Genomic DNA, 12,837 nt, shown 5'->3' on the forward strand with positions numbered 1-12,837 from the left:
TCTTGGAGTGTTGCCCAGCCCATGTCTCTTCTTGGTGTCTCCCGCCTCCTCTCAACTTTACATTCTTTTCCCCAAATTCTTGTTAATATATTTTTCCTGTCTCTTCCAAGTCATACTATTAGGGTCTCATGCTCCATATTCCAAGTATTTTCCTGAGTAAAGTTCTCTCTCTAAAAATTTTGATGACAACTAAGATAATACTTTTATATTTGTAAAGTAAATTTTTATTCTGCTTTATAAGTAAGTCCAAATACTTTAGGTCCCAACACATATTTAGGGGTAATTCAGCCAGCCTACTGAGTTATACTCCTCTGTCATGACATTAGCTAGATAGTTCCTACCTGGCATTAGGTAGATAAGAAGCAGAAGTCCATTCTTCTTGATTCATACTATAAAGACACATAAACATCCAGATGTTACATAGAGATGGCAATTTCCAGTTACAGAATTATTAATAATTTAGTTGAATTAAAACATATTGAATGCCTACTCTGTACATGGCATTCTATTACATGTAAAATTTAGTAAATACAAAGATGGATAGATCCTTTAGGAACATACGGTCATATGAGAGTTACATAAATGTCTAAATAACTGTAATATAGGCATAATGACATCAGCGCAAAGATTGTAGGAGAGAAGCATATAAATTCTGATAGGGTAGAGTCTGTTACACTTTCCAGAAAAGATGGGCACTGAAGGCTATGAATGCTTTAGATACATTAATATATAGATATGAGACATGACTTCAGGAAAGGTTGAACAAAGACATGGAGGTAAGAAAGCACAGAAAAGTAAATTAGGGTTGTTGTGAGTGTGCCTTTTTTGACAAAAGATTAGTTTGTAAAATATCAGCTTTCAGAAGTAGATTAGGATAATTTCATGGAAAGTTTTGGAGAAAAGGTGATGGTTAGAATTTGGTTCTGAATACCATGAGAAATCAGCAAAAGATTCTGAGTAGGAAAATTATAAGATCAGACAGGGTAACTCTCTAAATGATAGATTAGAGAATAAAAACAAGAAGGACGTTGCAGAGCTGGTTACAGGTGTCCCTTTCGTAGTAGCCACTTCATAAATATTCATCAAATGTATGGTCAGTGAGGTATGTGCTGGTAGAGCATCTGTGCAGAGGTGCAGACAGAAAGACAGATGCCAAAATGAGAGGCACAGTACACAAAACTGCTTTTAGATTTTAATCAAAATCTCCTGCCCAATTTTGATTAAAACTAAAATTCTTAGGTTTTAGAATAACAGCATCTGTGTCAGTTTTTCTTGCTAAGATTCTATCAATGTCTTTGAAAGGTCCCATATTTTACCGAGCTACCCAGCTAACAAGTTAGCTTGCCATAGTTTCTTGGATAGTTGCAGGAGACATGAGACCCCTGGGTCAAAGATGACAGAGAGTTTATCACAGAAGAGCAAGCAGCGTAAGAATCATGTTTGCAATACTGTTTTGATCCCCATTTCCAACAAGTGATGAAAAGAGGCTAGTTGGACCCTGAACATGCAGTGGTTTTATAACAGGAGAGGAAACTTGTGCTTAAGGATCCCCAATTTTTTTTATGCTGGACAATAAGCATGCCTGCCTATTGCCCTTGAGGGAGATACTATATTCATCTTTTCAAAATCGTAAACAAACCCAAAGTTTTCTCTGGAGAAAACGCTGTCTCTGTTTTTCAAGGCTGTTTGTTACATACACAGTCTTGGAAAGATAGTCTTGAAGAAAGGTAGTTTGTGCCTCTGCTCACAGGATGTGCAAAAAAGTGAAAGAGTCTCACAAAGAATCAAGTGTTACTTTGTCTCAAGTTTGTCAGGTCTTAGTAATTTCCTTAAATGTATTTAATATCGGCTTCATGCAAGTACCATTTGTTAGGAAGTAGGAGTGGAGGTATCAGAGGAATATAGTACAGTCTGGTTTCAAAGAGCTGAAAGCCTTAGTGAAGGATAGAGAGGAAAATATACCACCATAGAGGAAGCTGACAGTCATAATTGTACTAATGCAGGTATAGACAAAATGCCCTCTGGAGAAAGAGAAGAATTCTCATTGGAGGACTATTAAATCACGTGGATGTGGCAGTATTGATTGTTAACACTTGGGTTTAGCATTACAGCAAAAATAACTCTAATAAATCAAACCCAACCTGAGAAAAAACCTGAGACCATCTGGCAGGGATAGAGAATACTAATAGATGGAATTAAGATTTCTGCTATAAGGTACCCACTTTAGGCTGTGGGGAATGTGTATTATTACGCTAAAGTAACCCTATTATATCTTTTATTGTCCTAAATACATAATTATTTTCTAAATGTATGCTAAACATATAAGTGTTTTACTTTTCTTAGAGTTACTTAGAGCACTGCAAAACTAGCTATTCCTTATGATACTCTGACGAGGCATTACTAATCACCAAGTGGCAATTAAAAATATTGAGGCAGACTATTAAAACTAAATGGATATTCTAGGATATGCTCTAGAACCTAAACCTTTTAGCCATGGTTCAAATGTCACAGTAATACATTGGGACTTAGAAAATCTTAGAGTGAAAATTATGCCTGCAATATGAAGATTGAGACATTATTTATTACATAGTGCTTGTTTGTGGAATGGGAGGCTTAGACTCATTACAGTATAAAAGCAAGGAGAAAAGTTTCTAAGATGACGTATATTGGCTATAGTAATTCACTTTGGCCAAAGCAAATCACAAAAGAAAACTTTATAGTTTTGTTTTCTCTTTACGAATTACATTACTGGTTTAACTAATCTGGGTCCTTTCCTAGATATGTATGGTAAACTAAAATAAATATCTGAAACTGAAGCACTTATAAACTTGTTTTTAAATGAACGATAAAGATGTTAAAATGTCACAGACTAAATGATAAAATATGCCTATCAACCTACTTAACCTGTCATATTTTTTACATATTAGACTTATATTTTCAGAAATAAATACATATTTCTTCATAGTTCTTAAAATTACCTCTGACTCCTAGATATATAATTTTTGCTTCTGAGAGTAGAGCTTGCCTTGTCTGTCATAGGCCCAGCAAACAGTCAAACATAACTTACTTCTTTATTGTGAGCATTGATTTGTTATGCTTGTGATTTTTTTTTCAATCAAACTCCATTATTGATGTCACAAAGGTTAGTTACAGTTTCTTGACATGTTGCCATCAAAATCTCTCTGAGGCACATGACAATTAGCATATATATAAACTTAATTTCTTTTAATAAAAGACACTAATAAAATACTTTCACAAGTCACATGTAAAACTCTGAGTATTTGCAAATAGCAGATAACGTGTATCCTAATAATACTTTCTTACCCAATTTACAAGTATAATGTTTGTGTAAAAGAGAATGCTATTAAGCAGCAAATGTAAATTTCTTCTATATTTTGATGGGTTAAGAAGCCACTTAGAAAGTATTTGCTAGGCATATGGGTTGTGAAACTCTCAAGGCCATTAGATGAGGAGGAAGTAATGAATGGTATTTCTGCTTGGATAGGATATTTCCTTATTTTGCTTCTCTCAAGTCAGATTTAAAAATTTCATCAGATGAGATCGAGCGCATTCAGGGGAAAAAGGAGAATTTTAGACCAATATCCCTGATGAACATCGATGCAAAAATCCTCAATAAAATGCTGGCAAACCGAATCCAGCAGCACATCAAAAAGCTTATCCACCACAATCAAGTTGGCTTCATCCCTGGGATGCAAGGCTGGTTCAACATATGCAAATCAATAAATGTAATCCATCTTGTAAACTGAACCAAAGACAAAAACCACATGTTTATCTCACTAGATGCAGAAAAGGCCTTCGACAAAATTCAACAGCCTTCATGCAAAAAACTCAATAAACTAGGTATTGATGGGACGTGTCTCAAACTAATAAGAGCTAGTTATGACAAACCCACAGCCAATATCATACTGAATGGGCAAAAACTGGAAGCATTCCCTTTGAAAACTGGCACAAGACAGGGATGCCCTCTCTCACCACTCCTATTCAACATAGTGTTGGAAGTTCTGGCCAGGGCAATGAGGCAAGAGAAAGAAATAAAGGATATTCAATTAGGAAAAGAGGAAGTCAAATTATCCCTGTTTGCAGATGACATGATTATATATTTAGAAAACCCCATCATCTTAGCCCAAAATTTCCTTATGCTGATAAGCAAATTCAGCAAAGTCTCAGGATACAAAATCAATGTGCAAAAAACACAAGCATTCCTATACACCAATAACAGACAAACAGAGAGCCAAATCATGAGTGAACTCCCATTCACAATTGCTTCAAAGAGAATAAAATACCTAGGAATCCAACTTACAAGGGATGTGAAGGACCTCTTCAAGGAGCACTACAAACCACTGCTCAACAAAATAAAAGAGGACACAAACAAATGGAAAAACATTCCATGCTCATGGATAGGAGGAATCAATATTGTGAAAATGGCCATACTGCCCAATGTAATTTATGGATTCAATGCCATCCCCATCAAGCTACCAATGACTTTCTTCACAGAATTGGAAAAACAAAACCACAACAACAACAAAAAAACCAAAAACTTTAAAGTCCATATGGAACCAAAAAAGAGCCTGCGTTGCCAAGACAACCCTAAGCCAAAAGAACAAAGCTGGAGGCATCACACTACCTGACTTCAAACTATACTACAAGGCCACAATAACTAAAACAGCATGGTCCTGGTACCAAAACAGAGATATTGAAGAATGGATCAGAATAAGGCCCTTGGAAATAACACCACACATCTACAACCATCTGATATTTGACAAACCTGACAAAAACAAGAAATGGGGAAAGGATTCCCTATTTAATAAATGGTGCTGGGAAAATTGGCTAGCCATACGTAGAAAGCTGAAACTGGATCCCTTCCTTACACCTTGTACAAAAATTAATTCAAGATGAACTAAAGACTTAAATATTAGACCTAAAACCATAAAAACCCTAGAATAAAACCTAGGCAACACCATTCAGGACATAGGCATGGGCAAGGACTTCATGTCTAAAAAACCAAAAGCAATGGCAACAAAAGCCAAAATTGACAAATGGGATCTAATTAAACTAAAGAGCTTCTGCACAGCAAAAGAAACCACCATCAGAGTGAACAGGCAATCTAAAGAATGGGAGAAAATTTTTACAATCTACCCATCTGACAAAGGACTAATATCCAGAATCTAGAAAGAATTTAAACAAATTTACCAGAAAAAATCAAACAACCTCATCAAAAAGTGGGCAAAGGATATGAACAGACACTTCTCAAAAGAAGACATTTATGCAGCCAACAGACACATGAAAAAATGCTCATCATCATTACTGGCCATCAGAGAAATGCAAATCAAAACCACAATGAGGTACCATCTCACACCAGTTAGAATGGCGATCATTAAAAAGTCAGGAAACAACAGGTGCTGGAGAGGATGTGGAGAAATAGGAACACTTTTACACTGTTGGTGGGACTGTAAACTAGTTCAACCATTGTGGAAGACAGTGCGGCAATTCCTCAAGGATCTAGAACTAGAAATACCATTTGACCCAGCAATTCCATTACTGGATATATACTCAAAGGATTATAAATCATGCTGCTATAAGACATGTGCACACGTATGTTTATGGTGGCACTATTCACAATAGCAAAGACTTGGAACCAACCCAAATGTCCATCAATGGTAGACTGGATTAAGAAAATGTGGCATGTACACACCATGGAATACTATGCAGCCATAAAAAATGATGAGTTCATGTCCTTTGTAGGGACATGGATGAAGCTAGAAACCATCATTCTGAGCAAACTATTGCAAGGACAGAAAATCAAACACCACATGTTGTCACTCACAGGTGGGAACTGAACAATGAGAACACTTGGAAACAGGATGGGGAACATCACACACTGGGGCCTGTCGTAGGGTGGGGGGGAGGCCAGTCATTAGGAGATATACCTAATGTAAATGACGAGTTAATGGGTGCAGCACACCAACATGGCACATGTATACATATGTAACAAACCTGCACGTTGTGCACATGTACCCTAGAACTTAAAGTATAATAATAATAATACGAATTTCATCATTCTGAATAGCTCAAAATGTTCCTCTAAGTCTCGATAGTAGCAATAGATCACAGAACTAAACTGAGTTGCCTGATTGTTGTGTATCAATAATGAGTATGCTAGTGGGGCTTTGGATCATTAAAAAAATAATTAAATAAAGCATAAAAATAAATAAAATAAAACTGGCCTTGGGAAAAACTATAAATTATCACTTTGTAATCACCAGATGATGTGCTTTAATGAGAACAGCAGGCAGGAGGCGGTAAACAAACCATTAAATTGTGAAAAGACCAGTCAGCACATGGTATAGTGGTGCCACACACAAGAGAACAATAACTTATTTGGTTGTCTCTTTTATTCAATACTCTATAATGTCTAAATCAAAGTTTCTAATGCATTTTTAAAAATGCAAGTTATAAAAATCTGCAATAGAGTTCTGGATCAGTAAGCACTGTCAGAATAGATTATAGTTCTGCACAATCTCTGCTGTAACAATATCATGATGAATGGAGAATGACACCAGCTGCCCATTTATCTCCTAAGCTTACTGCTTTGATGATATTGATTATTTCTGGGGCTTCTTAGACTCAAAATTATAGCTGTGGTACTCAGATATCTGTTTTGCAAAGTATGTTGTTAATATGGTCCATTTTTTCCCCTTTGGCTAAGATATGCTGGTCATCAGGTAGCAAAAAATTAAATTGTTGCCTATTATAACATGTGAGGATTTTCACAATTAAAATATATTAACTTTGTTTCATTTACAGATAAATCCAAATTCTTAAATTGCATTTATACGTTTTTTTTTTTCCCAGTGGTCATTATTGACCATATGCTTACAGTGTGGTAAATATTGAGGCACAAGAAATTTTAAAATACCTAAGTTAGATTTACACATTTCAAAAACCTCTGAAACTGTTAGGAAGCAGGGATGAGAAATAATAAATAATAATATTCAGTGAAATGATAAAGTTTGAATAAAGTGCCATATAACCAAACAGTATAAAAACATCTAACTAGAAACTAATAAAAAAGCTTTAATGAACAGGGGTGAATTTACAGAAGGATAATAAAAATTTGAATTAGTTTTGAAGGATTATTCCAGCCAGAGGCAGGAACAAATAATATTCCAGGTATATGGTCTAAAGGTACAGAGTTATTTGTAGTATTTGGAAATGGCCTTTAGTTCTACATGGCAGGACTATAGGATGTAGAGGCAAGGTTATTTGAGAAAGACAAAGGAGGTGGGAAGAGAGGCAGAGACAGAGAGGGAGAGAGAGAGTGAGAAGAGGAGGTAAGGAAAGGAGAAGAGGAAGAGAAAGAAATATAATTATAAGTCGAAGTCAGATTATGAAAAGCCTTATATGACATCTAAAGATGTTTTTAGTTTGTTTAACTTGAAGGTTGAGGAGTCACTTAGTAAGGTGTGTATATATAGATATAGATATAGATATATAATGTAAAATAAGAATAGATATATACTTATATATCTATATATAAAACTATATATAGATATATATATAAAAGTATATATATACTTATGTATCTATATATAAAAGTATATATATAAGATGTATATGACTTATATAGCTTATGTAAGTGTGTATGTGTATGTGTATATATATACATATATATATATATAAAGAATAGGAAACAGCATGGAGGATGAATTATATGAGGAAAAAGTTAAACAAGGGTGAGAGGGGAAAGGCCGGTGTTGTAATGATTCTAATTATTGTTTGCACTGCTATTGAAGTTTGAATCATGCAAAACCCATGGAAATGGAAGCAAGGGAATGGATTTTGATGGTATTTAGATGTACCGTCAACAGTATTTGCTGCTTTAGCAGTGGATGCAGAAGTAAGAAGCCCACTTTTTCCTGACTGTACTTTCCTAAGACTGAGAAAAAGATGATTTTAAGATCAGATAATACTTGTGTTTCATCTTTTCCATGTAGACATTTTACAACCATGCTCTGGGTTCTTCCTTTCAGAAAAGCCCAGTGCTATGGAGTATAATGTAATTAAAACCCCTGTTTAATGTGCTATGTTTTTCTGGCATTAAAAACATAGAAATCTATTAAAACAAATCCTCTAAAAGGTATGGATTTCTAAATAGTGTTTGTAGAGGCATCTGGTCTTCTGTATTTAGCAGTTTACTCCTTTGGGACCTGTTATTAAAGCCAAGAACTTAATCTCATAAAAAAGGACTGTGTGTTGTTCCACTAAACTGGTGTTCATGCAGTTCTAACTGAAATGACAAGAGTGAAGGCCATTAAAAATAATGCTTGAAATCGATCAGAGATAATGAAATTGCATTGGTCCAAGTATTAATGAATTTTAATAATTGCATGTTACAATGGTCTTGCAATAAAAAGTCTGTTATCTTCAATTCAGCTCACTTTTGCTATGTCTAGATGATTGTAACACAACTGGTTGAAAAGTGTAGCTATTTTCAACACCTGTGCTGTATTGTTTTATTATTGACCCTTTTTGTTCTTTGAAAACCCCAAACAAAACTTCAGTTGTCTAATTGGTTGATAAAACTGTTCAAACCAATTCTTGTTTTGTTGTTATATAGGTATAATCTTAAAAAGTTAGTTTTCAAATAGAACAAGACTAATTTGGGCTAATAAGAAATCAATCATTCAACAAATGATGTCTTGATTCACACGTCTTTCATAAAGCTATATATTGATTCATTGAAAGAATTATTGATAGAGTCATGGACACCTCTTTTTGTTTCTCTGATGAGTCCCCCTTTTTGCATCTACCTTTTAAGTGGTATCCTACATTCTTGTCAAATATAATTAAAAATTAACATCTTCTAGTTTAGGTTAATATTTTCTCTGATCCTGACTGAAGACAAGTAATAAGGTTGAATCTGTTTCTATAACAAGGAATAGAAATTTACTTTATGCTTGTTTGAGGGTCTGGCCAAACGGCCATACAGATCTATAAGTGTGTTGGTGATGGCTGGGTCATCACTGATTACATACTTGCCACCTGACTTGTCTTAGGTTCTTTGTCTTGGGCTTTAACAAACAATATATGCAACTGATTAAACATTCAAGCTTACTTTACTGTTGTCCTTGGCTACCTCTTGGCCTGCAAAGTGGAGAACTAGATGTTTCACAACCAGAGCATGGGGCAAACTAATGGATAGGGTGAAGAGCAGAAACTCATTTTGGCGCCCTCCTCTGGACAGGTAAGATACAACACTTTCATTACTGGCTGTGGTTGCAGCTGTTACCTGAGGGTAAGAGAGCTGAGGAACACCCCCTTTTATGAAGCTAACTGGAAATAATTGTTGCTCTTACGGGAAAAGTCCAGGAAATTCCAACATCCAGTTAAAATTGAAACCTACATATTCATCCACATCACACTTTTGTTTACAGATTTGGGCCAACAGGCTTCCACTATTTTAGTTAGTACCCTGGGCATCCTCCCTATGCAGGTCCTCATTCCACAGAGCACAGAGCCAAGATACCCCCAGATTCAAGATGGGTTTCTCCATATGTTCCTCTGGCCACAGTTTGGTTGACTTTTTGATGTAACTAAAATGCATTTTTTTCCTTTTCTTTCTCAGAATAGAGGCCAGTATTTAGGGGAGATTTTATATAAAAGACAGGACAAGCTTCTACCACTTTTTACTGGTTTCATTCTTGTATCTGTGATCTCTGCATTTCTTTTTCTTTCCCGTCCTGTCTTTACTGCCACAATGGCGACACATTGTAATAGTTGAAAGGAAATGATGAAAATAATTATGCTGTCCTGAATTGGTAGTTGATTAAAGTCAGCTCTATATTGTTAGGGGAGCTAGACGGTGAATAGGTGGAACATACCTTGTGAATCCCACTTTTACAAAGGATTTTCTTTTTCTGGTTATAAATAAGCCCCTGCCTATGCTGATATAAACTTTTGTTCATGATTGCCTCAGGAAGGAAATAGAGGGCCATTCTGCATACTGGTTGATTGCCACTGGGCCACTGCAATCAACAGTGATAAGGATATGTGTTGGCTTTATTTATGCACTGGAAAAGTTTTATTGTATGAATATCCAGTGCAATCCCCCAATTTCACGTGACTGTGAACCAAGCATTGGTTTTGGCCTTGAACTTGTTTTTCTTTTAAATGCTCCTGAAAGGTGCATTGAGATGTAAAATATTAAGTATATTCATGTTTATGAATAGGTGTAATGAGACATTAAATATTGGAAGCCAAACAAAGTTGACTAAGGGACTTCAAGAAGATAACTTATTGGCATATCATTAGGCAAGAAAGGGAGCTATGAGCAGCACTACCTGAGAATTCTTAGAATTTATCATCTAGTATTAAATTAGGTTATAAATTGGGGGTTTCCTGTTTAATGGGTCTTGCTTATATCTGGGGTTTGCTTGAAGCAGCTTTCTCTTTATTATCTCCTCCCATTCTCTCTTCCCCTCTGGCCTCACTGCACTCACATTTGCATTTTCCAGTTAGAGGAACAATTTATATGAACATTGTCTCAATCTGTTTTGTGCAGCCATAACAGAATGCCACAGGCTGAGTGATTTATAAACAATAGAAATTTATTTATCATGGTTCTCAAGGCTGAGAAGTCCAAGATCAAGGAGGTGGCATCTTGTAAGGACCTTCTTGCTTCATTATTTTATATCAGAAGGTGGACAGGCAAGAGAATGTCAGCAAGAGAAAGGCAAAAAGGGAGCCAAACTCATCTTTTTATAAGGAACCCATTCCTATGATAATGAACCCATTTTCATGATAATGACATTAATCCATTTATGAGGGCAAAGCCCTGTGGCCTAATCACCTCTTAAAATTCCTACCTATTAATACAGTTACAATGGCAATTAAAGTTCAACATGAGTTTTGGAGGGGACATTCAAGCCATAGCAGACATCTTTTAAAAATTACCTTTAAAATTTTTAAAATAGGAAGGACAAAATCACTTGGAAAAGTCCTTAAACCAAGAGAAGACATTAGAATATGGAGATTTTTGTTGATTATAAAGTGCTCAGACTTTTGAACTAAGCAATGACTAATGCAGTTCAGGACATGTACGGATGGTGGTACTAATAGATGGTAGGGCAATGGTCCCAAGTCATGATTTCTGTCATGAAACCTTTTTAACTTCCGAGTACTTGGCATAGTGCCTATCCACACTAGTGCTTGGGTGCTATGCCCTAATAAAAATTTGACATTGTTCTTGATATACTCATTGTCACATATTAATTACAGAAAACTATCCAAATTCTTAATTATGGCTTCAGGTCATGACCTGGCTCCTCTATTTCGGACTTTCTCTTTCTACTGTGCCTCCAGCTGGGTTACCTGCAGTTGTCTAGATGCACCCTACCGTTTACTTTCCATGTGTTCTTAGCTTAAACTGCTGCCTCTGCCTTACATCCCCTCTTCTGTATCTCTAGTGAATACATATTAATCTTTCAAGAGTCAACTTACGTATTTCCTCCACTGTGAAACATTATCAAAGCCCTTACCAATCTTCTATAAAACACAATTGACCATGTTAAATTTTGTGCTCTGACAGTATATTAGCATTAAGCACTTAAGCATTCTTGATTATCAGTTTTGTTTTCTTCAACCATATCATGTTTCTTAAGAACAAAGCTATATGTTATTCAATTTTTGTGTTTTTTCTTTTTGTCTAAAAATGTAATATTTGTACTTGCAAAGGGATAGTTTTTTTCCTCTTAAGGAAAGAGAAAAGAACATCAGGGTAGCCATCTAAGATACTTTCCAAATCAGATTGCAGACCTCTGTGTTGTTTTTGCCCATCTCTTGTGTTTGTGTCTATGTGGTTAAGTGGATTATCTAACTTGGTTCCACTTCATTTAAATATTTGACTTCTTCTGTTTGTAGGGGTCTCTGCCGCTTTTCGTGAGAATACTGAAGCTATTTGGGCATGATCAAATTCTACAATCTAACATATAATTAGGCGAAGTAATAATAGCAGTTTTAAGTTTCAAGTAACGGAAAATTCAGTTAACATTGGCTTAGACAAATAAAACAAGATGTTTGGAGTTAGGTGGTCACTGTTGTTGGTTCAGTTGATCATTGATGATGTCACAAACCCATGCACATTGTGACATTGCCAGTTTCAACATCTTGGTTTTCATCCTTACACTTTTTACCTCAGGGTCATTAGAAAGCCACCACAGATCTAGGCATCTAAGCAGGAATAGGAGAGGAAAGGCAACTGTAGCCACATTAATCACTTTTATCAGGAAGATAAATGCTTTTCCCGAATCTTTCAACAGGCTTTCATTTTACATTGGGCATATTTTTGTCATATAGCCTTCCCTAGCTGCAAGGGAGGCTTTTCAAACTTCTTTATGGAATTCAGCAAGAAAGTAAAGAGGTAAGAAAGAGTGATGTGTTACACAAGAATGTGTGCCACACATTAGTAGGGGATTAAGAAAAGTGCTTAAATTATTATCATACATGATAGAATAAGAATATATCATATGACACATTCTAACACAGCAATATGGGTGTTTCAAGAAAGAAAGATAGCTATTTGGTGAGAGTATTGTGTCCCAAAGAAACTTTATGAGATAATGTCCTCTCATATGGAACTTAAAGGTTAATAGAATTTCAATAGGCAGAAATGGGGATAGACAATATATTAGAGTAGAGACATGAGCACTAAAGTTTTGTTTTTAGGGAAGATCAATCTAGTGAGCAGTTTTCAAACATGGGTGAAATGAGTCAGAAAAATAATAGGGAGAAGTAGATCGTATAGAGTAACACTTTCTA

General features: G+C 35.6%; 1 protein-coding gene and 1 long non-coding RNA gene across 24 annotated transcripts in view; one reads left to right on the forward strand and one right to left on the reverse strand.

Moving 5' to 3' along the window:
- Nucleotides 1–3,040, reverse strand: part of NAALADL2-AS3 (NAALADL2 antisense RNA 3) — a 35,931-nt gene extending 32,891 nt beyond the window's left edge. Inside the window, exons 1-2 of the long non-coding RNA NR_046390.1 lie at nt 2,979–3,040; nt 342–389 (exon numbers count right to left, since the gene is read on the reverse strand). This is a non-coding gene — a long non-coding RNA (NAALADL2 antisense RNA 3). The remainder of the gene's footprint in view (nt 1–341; nt 390–2,978) is intronic.
- Nucleotides 1–12,837, forward strand: part of NAALADL2 (N-acetylated alpha-linked acidic dipeptidase like 2) — a 1,369,567-nt gene that overhangs the window by 671,221 nt on the left and 685,509 nt on the right. The window contains exon 1 of one of the 23 annotated variants that reach the window (XM_011512616.3): nt 10,932–12,439. The exons of the other annotated variants lie outside the window; for them this stretch is intronic. Within the exon in view, the coding sequence (XP_011510918.1) occupies nt 12,414–12,439 (26 nt within the window). The 5' untranslated portion in view covers nt 10,932–12,413. Of the gene's footprint in view, nt 1–10,931; nt 12,440–12,837 lie in introns of those variants that run through there. 23 annotated transcript variants of the gene reach the window in all.

Source organism: Homo sapiens, chromosome 3 (assembly GCF_000001405.40).
Source record: "Homo sapiens chromosome 3, GRCh38.p14 Primary Assembly".
NCBI classification, from domain to species: Eukaryota; Metazoa; Chordata; class Mammalia; order Primates; family Hominidae; genus Homo; species Homo sapiens.